Source organism: Homo sapiens, chromosome 6, assembly GCF_000001405.40.
Source record: "Homo sapiens chromosome 6, GRCh38.p14 Primary Assembly".
Lineage (NCBI taxonomy): Eukaryota > Metazoa > Chordata > Mammalia > Primates > Hominidae > Homo > Homo sapiens.
This window is the reverse complement of record NC_000006.12, coordinates 87,083,967-87,099,318: the sequence shown is the minus strand read 5'-3', so window position 1 is coordinate 87,099,318 and position 15,352 is coordinate 87,083,967. Positions and strand designations below refer to the sequence as shown.

Here is a 15,352-nt window from a genome sequence, read left to right as displayed (position 1 = left end):
GGACAGTTGAAGATGAAAACAAACCATATTGCTCCTTACTTACATTCCTGTATTGCTTAATAAAACAATGCTATGCAGTCACGGTTCTCAAGCTTTGACTGATGAAATGCAAATTTCTGGGCTCAACTGAGAGAGATTTTGGTCCAGCAGGACCAGGATAGGATGGGACCCACGAACCTGTATTTTTAATCCACACCCTAGTAGTTCTGATTTTAGACAAAACATGAGATATACTTCAAGAAACACAGCCACACAGCATTAAGGAGTCAAGTGAAGATTAGAAAATTAGGGTGTTAGGAGCCTCATGACAAGTCAAAGAGAATGGTGAGGGAAAATCCCAATGCTTCTAATTTATAGTAAACAGACTGTTAGCAAGTTAGTGATATGATTTATGTCTAATTTCTCTTTGATAATGCACTTTCGTTGATACACTTGGTAAAGAGACACTCGATAATTATATCTAATAATAATCTAAACAAATTTAAAATATTTAATTATCATTGATTGAATATTTTTATTAATATAGGTCACAACAGTAGAGAACCCAAAAATGGACCTCAAAATATTTAGGAAGTAAGTAGAATTTCAAATTAGTGGAGAAAGAAATGTTGATTATTTCATACATGTTATTACAACACCTGGCTTGTCATTTAGGTTTAAAAAGAAGATAGATTTCTACTTCATTTCCAAAATAAATTACAGATGAATTAAAGGGCTAAACCTAAAATAAATAACACTGTATACAGTTGAGAATAAAATATGGGCACTTCTTTTTAGAATCTTGGCATTACATAAACTCTGCAAGTCTAAAAGTAAAAGATACATAAATTTGACCTCATAAAAACAACTGTAAAACTACCATAAAAGAGTCAAAAGTCAAACTTAAAATTAAAGACAGAATTAAGAACTTGAGAAAGATTTTTGAACAGGCAGTTCACAGAAAAAAAATTCTAAATGACCACAACTTATGAAATTATGTTCAGTCCTGCTCAAAATTATTTACATGCAAATAAAAATAAAATATTGTTTTTCATCTGTTAGTTCAACAAAAATTAACATATTTCATAGCATTAACTTTGAGGAGGGGTGGAGAAGAGTGAGTACCTGAGCAACTTCTACTCAAGTTTAAAATACTCATATTCTTTGATCCAACAATTCCACTTCTAAAAACTTATTCTAGAACTATAATTATATATGTAACCAGAGCAAGATGATAATTATAATATTGTTTATAACATTTAAAAACTGGAAATGATGCAAATGGTCATTAATAGAATGCTGGTTGAATAATTCATGGTCCTTTATATCTTGCAATATTCAAAAGTATGGGTTAGATCCACACATTTGGATATGAAAGAAACCACCAAGATACATTGTTATGTTTTTAAAAACAGAAAGAAGGCAAGGCACTAAACAATGTGTATCTTGTGTTTCTATTTGTATACAGCAAAACCCCCGAAAATGTATGTATATACATAGTAAATTTCTGGAAACATTAAGAAATTTTAAAAAATAAATACCTTTGGGAATGGAATTAAGGATTTTGGAGTAAGAGGAAGACTTATTTTTCATTGTATATACTTTTCTACTACTTGAAAATTTAAAATTGTGTAATGTATCGTTAAAATTACCAAAGAAAAAGCCACTTGGAAATGCAAGGATTTTACATACCTGAGCTGTTCTGATTACAGCATAATGTTTGTGATAATCATGTTTTGCTATTAGAAAGTTCAAATTATGTTGAATAAAACAATCAAGTAAGCATATGAAACATTTACAAAGATGGTTATTTAAAAAAATTCAGCGTGTAAATGCAAAACTTCATTAGGAAAAAAACTCATGCATTTAACATAGTGTGTACATACTTAACTGTGTCATACTGCTTTGCAAAGAAGTTCCTGACCTGTATACTCTATAGGGCTCTCAGGACCTTGCCTAGTAAAGGTGGCGAGTTGCCCTGTGTCATCCCAGTTCTTCAGCCAGCCTATCTTTTTGGTGACAGATGCTTCAAACTTTAGCAGCTGGGAGGTAACTGTCAATGACTGAGGAGTGGTATTTTTATCCTTCACCCACCAAACCTGCTCTTACCCAGAGTAAAGAAAATAGAAAATAGAACTATCAGATATGGGATAAAACTGTCAATAATAAATGGAAGCAGCCACATGAAATAGTGAAACTTAGAAACATGTTTTTGTTAACAGTACTTTCCCCAATTATAAAAGTAATATATGTTTGTTGTAGAAAGTACAGAGAAGTATAATTTATACCATACCAACAGAGATTCTCTAAGCACAAAGGCAGGGGTTCCTCTAATTTTTGTATTCTGTTTGTTATTTTAAGGAGAATTTCAACAGGGATGGAGACTTAAATATAATTTGTTTGTATATACATAGAGTATCTGCAGAAACACAAGTAAGAAACTGGAAACATTGCTTCTGAGTAGAATAATTGAGGAAATGGGGAAGATAAGTCAGGTGTTAAAGGCACTGACTTTTGTATTATTTATGTAGCCACATCACTAAAAAAATTAAAAAACAGTATGTAAACTTTAAAAACACAATAAACATTTTCATAAGAATTCCCTAATATTCATAATTCTTATATAGAAATGTGAAATAAAAATAAAATCCACTATGAAATCATAAGCCAAACAAAAATAATTTAATAAGAGCATCCTAGAAACATTGTTTCTATGTAATCATTCAGATAAAAAAGAAATAAAAGGATGTAAAGAAGGCACAAATAAAAGAGAAAGAATAGAACAAAGAAGAGTGAAATGCCTAGATGGAAAGATTTTCAAAATAAGTCTGCTACATTGAAAATATACTGCCAGTTGGTTGATATTTAAATGTAGAAATTCTTGAATAATGGTGGCATCAATCATCACTAGGAAGGCCCGGCACGGTGGCTCATGCCTGTGATCCCAGCACTTTTGGAAGCCGAGGTGGGTGGATCACTTGAGGTCAGGGGTTAAACCAGCCTGGCCAACATGGTGAAACTCCTGTCTCTACCAAAAATACAAAAATTAGCCAGGCATTATGGCGCACACCTGTAGTCCCAGCTACTCGGAGGCTGAGGCAGGAGAAGTGCTTGAACCCGGGAGGTGTAGACTGCAGTGAGATTGTGCCACTGCACTCCAGCTTGGGAGACAGAGCGAGATTCCGTCTCCCCCACTCGTCCCCCAAAAAGGAGCATCACTAAGAAAAGGTGAATGGTTGGGATGCATACTGGAAGGAAACAACGGAAATCTGAAAAGGTGTAAGAACCTAAACAAATTTGTTTATCACAGAAAATAAATCACAAAACAACTTTGCGTTCTTTGGCAAGTTTCTTTATGTTAAACAAGAATTGCTTTTTGCATCACATAGATCTTCTAAACTCTTTGTTGAAGAGGTCCTTGGTAGTCTGTATCTAAGCCAGTTCCTTACGGAAGTGGCACTGAGCGGAGTAGATAAAGATAGGAACTTTTGAAGGGTCATAATCTCTGTGTGCAAAAAAGAAGCCACAGTAGTCTGAAGAGCTGTGCAGGTTTTAGGGTGACACTGGGTTGGGAACCTTGGAGCTAAGTGTCCCACACCTGGCAAGCCATGACATACATATTTTCTGTTCAGGCAGAAACTGAGCTTTACAAAAGTGAAATGAGAAAAAAAAAAAAACCAAAAACCAGGCACGTATATTGAGAACCATTCAGTCCTTCTTAGAATTGCCTCATACCTTTCTCATGCATCTTTATTAAATTCAGATGCAAATTAATTTTAGAAAAGTCTAAATAGGTGTGTGTTTTATTTTTCTGTTTCCTAATTAAATAGTGGTATAAGCCTGGAAATGCTCTATATCTATTTTCGGAAATCTATAGCTCTTGTTTAGGTAAATATCAGGTACTTAGCTAATTAAATGTCTCTTGTTTATAGGAAAGTGTCAGCTTTCAGGATGTTATGTGTATGGCTCAATAAAATTACGTACAAAGTGACAGCGTACTCTCTTTTCATGGGCTGACCTTGTCGTCACCATCACCTGAAAATGGCTCCAAACAAAAATGACCTAAGGGTTGAAACAAGATAAGATCAAATTGACGTCATGGTAAAAATTGACGTCATGGTAATTACACCAAGTACCCTTCAATCATTGGATGGAATTTCCTGTTGATCCCAGGGCTTAGATGCAGGTGGAAACACTCTGCTGGTATAAAAGCAGGTGAGGACTTCATTAACTGCAGTTACTGAGAACTCATAAGACGAAGCTAAAATCCCTCTTCGGATCCACAGTCAACCGCCCTGAACACATCCTGCAAAAAGCCCAGAGAAAGGTAATATGAATGAAATAATTTTGGGGGACTTTAATTGAGGAGTAAAATATTTGAGAATATGAGGAAGATTCCAAAGTCTCTGCATATACCTTAATAAGAACTGAGACAGGCTTTTACTCATTCTCTTTTCAGCACTTATGATTGAATTAGAAGGAAGTCTGTAAAATTTGGCTGTGATCATAGGGTAAGATGTTATCTAACAGAAGCCAGAAACCCAATGTCTCCTGCTGAGATGCTTGAGTGCCTGTCAGGATCTAAAAATTTTCCTCAAGAATTACTGTATGTCATTGGAAAGACGTTCTTTTGAGTGGCTTCCAGGAGCCAGACAGAGGGCAAGTAGACATTATGATATTGTTTTATTATCCATTTTTAAGTGATGTATAGCTATATCTTCAAGCTGGCCCATGATAAAGTGGTTCACTTGTTCAGCTGAATGACTATAGCTTCTGATTATCTTTTGAATAGATGTTCTCATGCAGACTTGAATAGTAGCATGGAATTTCTTGAATGTCGTTGTTTTCATTTTTCTTCTTTAATAAAATGCTACAAAAATCAAAGTTGGTAGTATTTCTCTAGCTATTATTCATGAATTTGCAATGATAAGTCACTTGCCCAAGTCTAATTGATTAGTTCCAATGAGTTTCTGGAAACTTTTTTGCAGCTAACCTTGGTTATCTTAGCATTAGCATTAATTGGTGGCTGATTGGGAAATAGACACTAGAAAATAAAAGACCTTTTTTGTCCCTCCTTATTAGCGTTGAAGAATAGGCTATGGGCACGTGTGAAGAACTATGGGCTGACACTATATGGGTCCCTTAGGAATGCAGAAGCTCCCTTTCATCTCTGTAGATATTTTGTTTCTTAAGCTCTTCAATCTTTTTCCCAGTCAAAAGTCAGATATTTTGCTTTAGAAAAGGAATCTTTTAAAGTTTCTGAAAATATCTTTTAAATAATTACTTGACTTAATACCAATTCAATTATTCATAATATTGGTCAACCAAATTGCATGTAATACATTGCTATATTCTTGAATTATTTAAAAAAGACAAGAGTGGTCATCATTTATAAAAGGTTCGTGGTTTTTCATGTTAATTTCAACTTTGGTTTTCTTAAGTTTATTATTTTTTTTGCAGTAAGAGTCATTGAAATTTTAAGTGAGTCATATTCCTTACCATTTCCTGCTGAAAAGGGTAGTGTGTGAGAAAAATGTTAGAAAAGCAATTAATTATGTTCCAGAGCAGATTTTCAGTTGCAGTGTACATTTCTTTTTAATGTGAGACCCAAATTTACATGAAAACTCAAAGTAAGAGCTGGGTAACAGAAATGGCTAACTTAGAAGGTAATGTACGTCTTGCTTAAAAGCACATCAAAGTAATCTACTTTCTCAAAGAGAAAATTTACAGGAGTGAACTTACATTTCTTTTGAGAACAGCATGGTTCATAGCACCAAACTTCATTTTTACAGGTTGTGAATCCTAGAGTAGTTTGCTATCAACTTCTGATCTTTGCACATTCTGGATTTGGCATATAATGTTACAGCAGTGCCATTGTAATGTTGCACAAAGTAGTCTAGCAATTTCTTGGTTCACCAGGCTTAGAGATAACATTGTAGAAATGATCCAGCATCTTTAACACTCTGTGGTTTAAGGTGGGGCACTTAGGGGTAGAATCAATAACAATGTTAGAAATCAAATTAGACAAGATAACTGAAACAGCATGATCCATGTGTGACTCCAAGTTATAAAGGAGGACATGGATTAATGGTATACTTCTAGGCTATAGGGGTAGTACAAGTGGAAGGACACCATCTTAGCATCAGATCACTTTCTGAGCAACTTTGGCAAATCTTTTAAATTCTCTAATGTGTAGTTTTTTAATATATGACACAGGTGTAAAGAAAATAAAGCAAGTGAATGTATGTGAAAGCCAATGCTGACTGGGCACGGGGGCTCACGCCTGAAATTCTAGCACTTTGGGAGGCAGAGCCGGGGATATCACTTGAGCCCAGGAGTTGAAGATCAGCCTGGGCAACATAGAGAAACCCTGTCTCTACAAACAAAACAAAACAAAAAAACAAACACAAAAAACCACTCCCAAATTAGCCGGGCTTGCTGGCACACTCCTGTTGTCCCAGTTACCCGGGAGGCTAAGATGGGAGGATCACCTGAGCTTGGGAAGTTGAGACTGTAATGAGCCGTGATAGTGGCACTACACTCCAGCCTGATCCACAGAGTGAGACCATGTCTCAAAAAAAAAAAAAAAAAAAAAAAGAAAGCTAATGCTTTTTCCCCTTTCCCTGTTCCCCTGTTGTTCCCCACTGCAGACAGTCCTTATAGCTTGATCAGTTTAAAATACCTGAACTTGCTCTCTTTTCTTTTCTTTTTTCTTTTCTCTCTCTCTTTCTTTCTTTTCCTCTCCTTTCCCCTCTTCCCCTCTCCTCTCCTCTCCTCTTCTTTTCTTTTTCTTTCTTTCTCTCTCTCTCTCTCTCTTTTTTGTTTTCAAGACGGGGTTTCTCACTGTCTCCCAGGCTGGAGTACAGTGGCTCGATCCCAGTTCACTGCAGCCTCATTCACTCAGGCTCCAGTGATCCTCCCACCTCGGCTTCTAAGAGATGGGAAGCAGGAACTGCCAGGTCAGTTAAGGGATATACCTACTACTTGCCCAGTGTCACTACTGCTATATTCCTGATCTAAGCAGTCAAGGGCCTATGTAGATGAAATGGGGTACAAAGATAAAAATACAAAGACAGACATACCACTGTTTGACGTGGGAGTGACAAGGTCACACTGCAAATAAATGTAGGCTGAGGGGTATTTTTGTGGCCATTTTTGGAAAGTACAATCTGCCATAGCAGTAAACACAGGGGCAATGAACAAGGGGCTTCACTTTGCAGCTCCTCTGCTCTGTTTTTATTACCAAAAAAAAAAATCCTTTTAAAGTAAGATGCCTAGACAACATAGTGAGATGCCCACTTCTTTTCTTTTCTTTCTTTCTTTCTTTTTGAGACGGAGTCTCTCTGTTGCCCAGGGTAGAGTGCAGTGGCGCAATCTCGGCTCACTGCCGCTTCCACCTCTCGAGATCCCATTTCTAATTTAAATAAAAAGAAAGAAAGTTTCTTTGTGGATGAAGAGATAGACGTGTACATAACTGGTTAGACTGTGGGGCATCATCTAAGAATTATAAGCCAAGTGATAAGTGAGTGCAGTGGAGAAAGATATTTATTTTGTCTTTGGGGTTGGGTGAAAACTTCACAGTGAATCTGGCTGTTGAACAGCTCCTTAAAAGACTCTGAAGTAGATGAACTGAAAAGGGAGAGAAAGAAGGCCAAGTTGAGAAAACTCATGTTTTCTTGGACACATATTATCTTGATGTGGTGGGTGATGGGATATAAGGGTATGTTGGTGTGTATTGCAGGTTAGTCTGAGGTTGTGTGTACAGGGCCTTTGAAGTTCGGAAAATACTCATGTGAAATACCAAAAGAAGCTGAGATTAGTAAATCTGACTTTAGATTGAGCATATTTTTGCAAAATAGCATAAATCCTAGCAGAATTTAATTTCTCCCCCTGATTCTTAATATTTTCTTTTGAATTTTAAAACAGAAAAACCTGAGGGTGATTAGGATGATAAAAATATTTATTAAAATGCTTTCAAAATCACCTAGAATTTGAAGGCTATTCTGTTTTTACTTGGTTAATGTCATCTCTTTTCAAAATACAGGCAAAGAAAGGTAATAGTTTCTGCTACAGCAATAGTGATTTTTGTTTCACTTTTTCAATCTTCTTTTCACTTTATTATAAAGGCAATTCTAAAATGCGCATTGACTTCATGCTTTCACATTCTCAAATCTTATTATAAATGTTTCTCTCTGAATTAATTCTGATATAGTTGTTCACTGCATAATGGCTGAATTTTCATAATATATGAGCTGCAATATTAAGGCACAAACATGATACTAGTTTAAAAAGGAAACTAGTTTTAATTCTGAACATTTCCTTATGGCTTTGTGTATTCTCAAACTTACTGATCTCAGAACCTGTTTACACTCTTAAAAATTATTGAAGAGCCCAGGCTGGTCATGGTGGCTCACGCCTGTAATCCCAGCACTTTGGGAGGCCGAGGCAGGTGGATCACGAGGTCAGGAGTTTGAGACCAGCCTGGCCAATATGCTGAAACCCCGTCTCTACTAAAAATACAAAAAAAAAAAAAAATTAGCCAAGCGTGGTGGCATGTGCCTGTAGTCCCAGCTATTCGGGAGGCTGAGGCAGGAGAATTGCTTGAACCCAGGAGGTGGAGGTTGCAGTGAGCCAAGACTGCATGACTGCATTCCATCCTGGACAATAGAGGGAGACTCAATCTCAAAAAAACAAAAAAAAAATTATTGAAGAGCCCAAAGAGCTTCTATTCATGAGTTTATATCCATTAATATTTAATGGCTTAGTGATTATGCTAAAGTTTAAAAATATTTATTCATTTAGAAAAATCCATCATATGTTAACACATATAACATATATTTATTTTTTAAAAATGACAATTTTCAAAAAAAAATTAGTGATGAGTGGCATTGTTTTACCCTTTTGCAAAACTCTTCATCGTCTGGCCTAACAGAACATAGCTAAATTCTCATGTGCTTTTTCATTCAATCTGTTGTAAAATTACATGTCATGTAGCCTCTAGAAAATTTCTCTGAACACCCAAGAGGATGAAGAGGAAAAAAAGACAAACAACATTTTAGTATTATTATGAAAATCATTTTAACCCCACAGATCCACTGAAAATCTTTGGGGTTCCCAGATCACACTTTGAGAACCACTGACTTAGAACAATATTTATTCAGTGTTAATTATGAGTGAAGATAAATAGAACTCAAAATTACTTACATATAAATATATATATTAGGTAGAAATAATGACATAGGTTTGTTTTAGCCTTCATACTTACACAATCTGAATTTCTATACAGGTTGAGTATCCTTTATCTGAAATGCTGAGGATGAAAGGTGTTTTAGATTTTAATTTTTTTTGGATATTGGAATATTTGCATACACATAGTGAGATATCTTGGGGATGAGACCCATGTCTAAACATAAAATTCATTTGTTTCATATACACATAGCCTGAAGGTAATTTTATATACTATTTTAAATATTTTGTGCATAAACAAAGTTTCTGTTAAGTACTTATATGTGGAAATTTCCACTTGTGTAATCATGTTGGTGCGCAAAATGTTTCAGATTGTGGGCCATTTCAGATTTCAGATGTTCAGAATAGATATACTCAACATGTGTTATAAACTTAGTTCTGCTGTCTGATAAATTATTCCTAAGAAGTATTATGGGTTAATATAAACATCTAGCAGAAACTCAGCCCTATTATGTCAGTCTACATGAAAAATAACCATAAGTTTTGACTCATATGTACCTTTAAACCTCATTCTGAATTTTTTTAAAAAAACTTTTATTTTGAATAATTGCAGATTTAGAGGAAGTTGCAAAAAATGTACAGAGAAGTCCTGTATATCCTTCAGCTTGTTCCCTCATTGAAAATTATCTTGTATAACTATAGTACAAGGTGAATACTAGAGAACTGACATTGCTGCCGCCTATACAGCTTATTCAGATTTAAGACACACACACACACACATAATACTAGTGCTCTGTTATGCAGTTTTATCCCATGTGTAGATTAGTGTGACTAACATCCCTATCAACATGCGGCTGTCCCATCACCACAGCTCCCTTGTGCTATCCCTTTAGAGCCATACTCACCCTCATACACTTCTTTCCCAGTGCTAACTCTTTGAAACCATTAATCTATTCTCTATCTCTATAATTTTGTTATTTCCACAGTGTTATATAAATGGAATCATATAGTATTCAGCCTGCATTCAGCACAATTCTCTTGAGATCCATTCAAGCTGCTGTGTGTATCAATAGTGTGTTCATTTTTTTGTTGCTGGACAGTATTCCATGGTATGGCTATACCATCATTTGTATGACCATTCACCTTCTGATGGACATTTGAAATGTTTCCAATTTTTGGCTACTCTAAACAAAGTTTCTATGAATATTTATATATAAGTTTTGTGTGAACATAGTCTTCATTTCTCTGAGATAAATGCCCAAAAGTGCAACTGTTGGGGCATATGGTAAGTACATGTTTAGTTTTATCAGAAACTGCCAAAGTATTTCCCAGAGTGGCTGTACCATTTTGTATTCCCACTAGACCAGCAATGCCTGAGTTATCTGGATTCTCTGCATCCATGCCAGTATTTGGTGTTATTTTTTATTTTAGCCATTCTGATAGATATGTAATATGTCATTGTAGTTTTAATTTGCATTTCCTTAATGGCTGATAATGTTGAATACTTTGTGTTTATCCTCCATCAAATGATTGTATATTTTATATCTCATATATAAGTTTATATATATTTTCTTAGGTATTATCTAGTTTAAGTTCCATGTTTTACAAATAAGGACATTGAGGCTTCTTAACAGGATGACAGATAATTTAAAATTTAAATTTTAAAGAATTTAAAAAGAGAATTTTTTGTAATTATTATTAAACCAATTTCTACAGTTAATGTGAGAAATGGGAAGATTCAGTTATCTATCTCTTTCCTAAGGAGAACTTTTTTTAAAAAAAATTACATGGTTTTAGTATATGTTGGGAGCTAAAAGCAGGGAGGTCAAGACACTGATGACTATTATTAATAGTAATGTTGAAACTACTGGTTGTTGTTATGACTGGTAAGCCAATTTTAGATTAACTGTTTTTTGTTTTTTTTTTTTTGCCATGTCTGTCTGCAGGAGCGCCATGGATTACTACAGAAAATATGCAGCTATCTTTCTGGTCACATTGTCGGTGTTTCTGCATGTTCTCCATTCCGCTCCTGATGTGCAGGGTGCGTGACCAAATTTGTGGTTCAAGTAATAAGGACAACACACATTTCTAGATGTACATCAATAACTCCATTAATTACATTTCTACCACCTTTTCAAAAGTAATAAGTCTTTGCTGCTGGATTCATATCTAGGCACTTGTAGATTGTGAACATAAAATTAAATTAGGTTCAGAAAATGTGCAGTGAAAATGATATCTTACACAACCATTTATGCAGCAGCCTATACATTTTCATCGGAAATAGATTCCTTTTTATTCTTGAGTCTTACAAGAAGAAAATGCTCCTTATTCAGTTAGCTCAGTTATTTTTTACATTTCTCCCGGCAGATTTGAGATTTTAACATTGCCTTTGTAGATGAATTTTCACATCAGTTAACAAGTGAGAAAAACAAAACCATTTTATACAGTAAATTTGTTTTGCTGTATTGTCTGAAAAATCTCATATAGTAGCTGGTATAATTCCTTCTGCTTTGAAATTGTGAGCTACTATTGGTTATGGTTTTTCTCTATATAAGTGGTAATATTTTAATCCAGGTCCCAAGTGCAGGCGCGTGATCTAATATCAGGCTCTCTACACTCACCAAGCTTTCTTAATTCTGACATATTTCTCTCTGTCAATATTTGGAGTTACTGTGGGAAAAACAATAGCAGATTCTAAAGGGAAAAATATTTTTCCTCTGTGCAAAATTCTCTTTTCAGATGAACATGATGTTTTCATCTGTCAAGTTTTGTGTTTCCTCTAGGCATACTGTTAGCATTGGGATAGAGAATCCATGCTTGAAGAGAGACTACAACTGAGATTTTCTATGCATATCTGTAAAAAATGTTTGTTTTTAAGTTTTATTTCCCATGAACATTAATCAGTATAAATATTAAATAGATATTATAGATGAAGATTAACATATAACCAAAAAGCACTTACTTAGTTTCCTTTCATTTTTGATGAAAAAATAATATTCACTATCCCATAATAAGGAAGCATTCACAGTTTCTTTTCTTTGTTGCCTTGCCTTGTCTTGCCTTGCCTTTTCTTTTGAGACAGAGTCTCGTTCTATCACCCAGGCTGGAGTGCAATCGTGTGATCTCAGCTTACTGCAACCTCCGCCTTCCGGGTTCTAGTGATTCTTCTGCCTCAGCCTTCTGAGTAGCTGGTATTACAGGCACCTGCCACCATGCCCAGCGAAATTTTTGTATTTTTAGTAGAGATGGGGTTTCACCATGTTGGCCAGGCTGGTCTCGAATTCCTAACCTCTGGTGATCCACCTGCCTCAGCCTCCCAAAGTGCTCGGATTACAGGCGTGAGCCACCACATTTTTTCTTATTTTTTTGAGTCAGGGTCTCACTTTGTCACCCAGGCTGGAGTGCAGTGGCATGATCTCGGCTCACTGTAGCCTCGACCTCCCAGCTTCAAGCGATTCTTCTGCCCCAGACCCTCAAGCAGCTGGGACTACAGGTGTGCACCATCACGTCTGGCTAATTTTTGTTGTTGTTGTATTTTTTGTAGAGACAGGGTTTCACCATGTTGCCCAGGCTGCTCTCAAACTCCTGAGCTCAAGCAATCCACCCACTAAGGCCTCCCAAAGTGCTAGGATTACAGGCGTGAGCTACTGTGCTGGCCTCATAGATTCTTTTTGAGTCTTTTTTGGATATTTTACTCTGCCTTTTTTTTTCCCTGATAGATTGCCCAGAATGCACGCTACAGGAAAACCCATTCTTCTCCCAGCCGGGTGCCCCAATACTTCAGTGCATGGGCTGCTGCTTCTCTAGAGCATATCCCACTCCACTAAGGTCCAAGAAGACGATGTTGGTCCAAAAGAACGTCACCTCAGAGTCCACTTGCTGTGTAGCTAAATCATATAACAGGGTAAGAACCTCAAGATCCCCAGAAGCTTTCTAACAGCCCAATCAGAGAAATGTTCATAGAGCCCACCCATGGAATTTAATGCCAAAGGTGTCTAATGACCCAGCCTCTGTCGAGCATTTGTACAGGTGGGGAATACATTTCTACCCATTAATTAAAAGAGTCAATTGTCTTGTGGGTATAGACTGGATTTATTCAGAATGAGGAGAATAGGGGTAGAGGTGACAAGGGGCAGGTTGGGAGAAAGTACAGCTTACTTGTGCTAAAAATATTTCCTAAAAAGGAGACTGTGCAAATGTAGTATGCATCTACTTATTTCAGCAGAATGCAAACAATTTTATGTAATATTCTTCAATTTTGTCTCTATCTATCTATCTATCATCTAATCTATAATATGTTTTTTTTTCCTTCCCCTTTAGGTCACAGTAATGGGGGGTTTCAAAGTGGAGAACCACACGGCGTGCCACTGCAGTACTTGTTATTATCACAAATCTTAAATGTTTTACCAAGTGCTGTCTTGATGACTGCTGATTTTCTGGAATGGAAAATTAAGTTGTTTAGTGTTTATGGCTTTGTGAGATAAAACTCTCCTTTTCCTTACCATACCACTTTGACACGCTTCAAGGATATACTGCAGCTTTACTGCCTTCCTCCTTATCCTACAGTACAATCAGCAGTCTAGTTCTTTTCATTTGGAATGAATACAGCATTTAGCTTGTTCCACTGCAAATAAAGCCTTTTAAATCATCATTCAATCACTGAATTATCATTTTTCTTCAAAGTAAAGCCAGTTGCTTTGGACAGCATTAATGGAAGAGAGTGGGCCATTGGGTGAGTTGGGGCCAAATGTGTTTGGTGACCTGACATTGGAGAGCCTTGCTGTTACCACACCTAGCAGCGTGTGAGTCCTTTCAGCCAGTGGGCTACTTATAAGACATTTATTAGGGCAAGAGAAGAAAATATAAGAACTTCTATTTATATTAATTTTTATATAACTTTTTAAGTTTCCATTTTGATGGATTTTATAAAAGCACAGATACATTAGTATGGTAATACATGTATACAATTTATAAATCAATAATTATCCATATATTGGGAACATTTGATCAGAAACTTTTTACTGTTAGAAGGGGACAATAAAAAACAAACAAACAAAAGAAAAAGAAAAGGGAGAACACTTCTCTAGGATTTGGGAAAGACAAAATTATTCCCAGACTGAAGTTTCTATTTACTTGCTTTATGCCTGGCTGAAAAACGCTCATCTTATTAGTCCCTGGCAGCCAGGCTATAATTGAATAGAGGCCAAGGAAAGGGCATCATTGCACCAATTGAAACTGGGCATTACTCTGAAATACCAGAGGCATCAGATTTTGTTCTTCACATTCAGATCTGGCTCAGAACTATGGTCTAGGTCAGATGCCTGGCATATTCACTTTGTTTTTTAAAATGTTTAAGATGGCCGGGCATGGTGGCTCACACCTGTAATCCCAGCACTTTGGGAGGCCAAGGCGGGCAGATCACTTGAGGTCAAGAGTTCGAGACCAGCCTGGCCAACATGGTGAAACCCCATCTCTACTAAAAATACAAAAATTGCCAGGCATGGTGGTGGGCGCCTGTAATCCCAAGCTACTCAGGAGGCTGAGGCAGGAGAATCACTTGAACCTGGGAGGTGGAGGTTGCAGTGAGCTGAGATCGTGCTACTGCACTCCAGCCTGGGCGATAGAGAGCGAGACTCAGTCTCAAAAAAACAAACAAATGAAAAATGCCTAAGAGTAGTGCCATGCTTCAACACCACATCTGTTGAGCATTTATACTGAGAGGTGGTCCTTACCTTGAGGACAATGGTATTATAAATATTAAATTATATTAGCCATGGTGGAGATCATAGCTACTCAAAAAAGTTCTACTCCTAATGGAGCCTGTAATTTAAAAAAGATAATCACACTGGTAACCGGTAAGGTTTTCAGAAAGAAATTTTGATCATCACCCATTTGTCGAAATTTTATTTCTGAGTGGCAACCCAGTTCTTTGTTCCTTAGCAGGCTGGTAAACATATCAGGTGTTAGGGTAGTAAGTTAAAATAGGAAGTGCATGTACTTTTTTTTTTTTTTTTTTTTGAGACAGAGTCTTGCTCTGTTGCACAGGCTGGAGTGCAGTGGTGAGATCTTGGCTCACTGCAACCTCTGCCTCCCAGGTTCAAGTGATTCTCCTGTCTCAGCCTCTCAAATACCTGGGATTACAGGCACATGCCACTGTGCCCGGCTAATTTTTGTATTTTCAGTAGAG

General features: G+C 36.5%; 1 protein-coding gene across 2 annotated transcripts; it reads left to right on the top strand.

The window, feature by feature from the left end:
* The first annotated feature begins 4,212 nt into the window (after window positions 1-4,212).
* On the top strand, window positions 4,213-13,821 carry CGA (glycoprotein hormones, alpha polypeptide). Of its 2 annotated transcripts, NM_001252383.2 has the most exons (5): window positions 4,213-4,306; window positions 11,112-11,206; window positions 12,710-12,802; window positions 12,885-13,069; window positions 13,486-13,821. In NM_001252383.2, the coding sequence occupies exons 2-5, from the start codon at window positions 11,119-11,121 to the stop codon at window positions 13,561-13,563; spliced, it is 444 nt and encodes a 147-aa protein (NP_001239312.1). In that variant the 5' UTR covers window positions 4,213-4,306; window positions 11,112-11,118; the 3' UTR covers window positions 13,564-13,821. The 2 variants fall into 2 exon arrangements, with proteins under 2 accessions (NP_001239312.1, NP_000726.1); NM_000735.4 differs by lacking the exon at window positions 12,710-12,802.
* The last annotated feature ends 1,531 nt before the right edge of the window (window positions 13,822-15,352 follow it).

What these genes read in the sequence shown, in the direction of transcription:
- CGA (NM_001252383.2), top strand. Translation starts at nt 11,119, where the DNA reads ATGGATTACTACAGAAAATATGCAGCTATCTTTCTGGTCACATTGTCG. An exon ending in TTCCGCTCCTGATGTGCAGG is followed by an intron (nt 11,207 to 12,709) that starts GTGCGTGACCAA and finishes TATTTTTTGTAG; the next exon opens with AGACAGGGTTTCACCATGTT. An exon ending in TAGCTAAATCATATAACAGG is followed by an intron (nt 13,070 to 13,485) that starts GTAAGAACCTCA and finishes CTTCCCCTTTAG; the next exon opens with GTCACAGTAATGGGGGGTTT.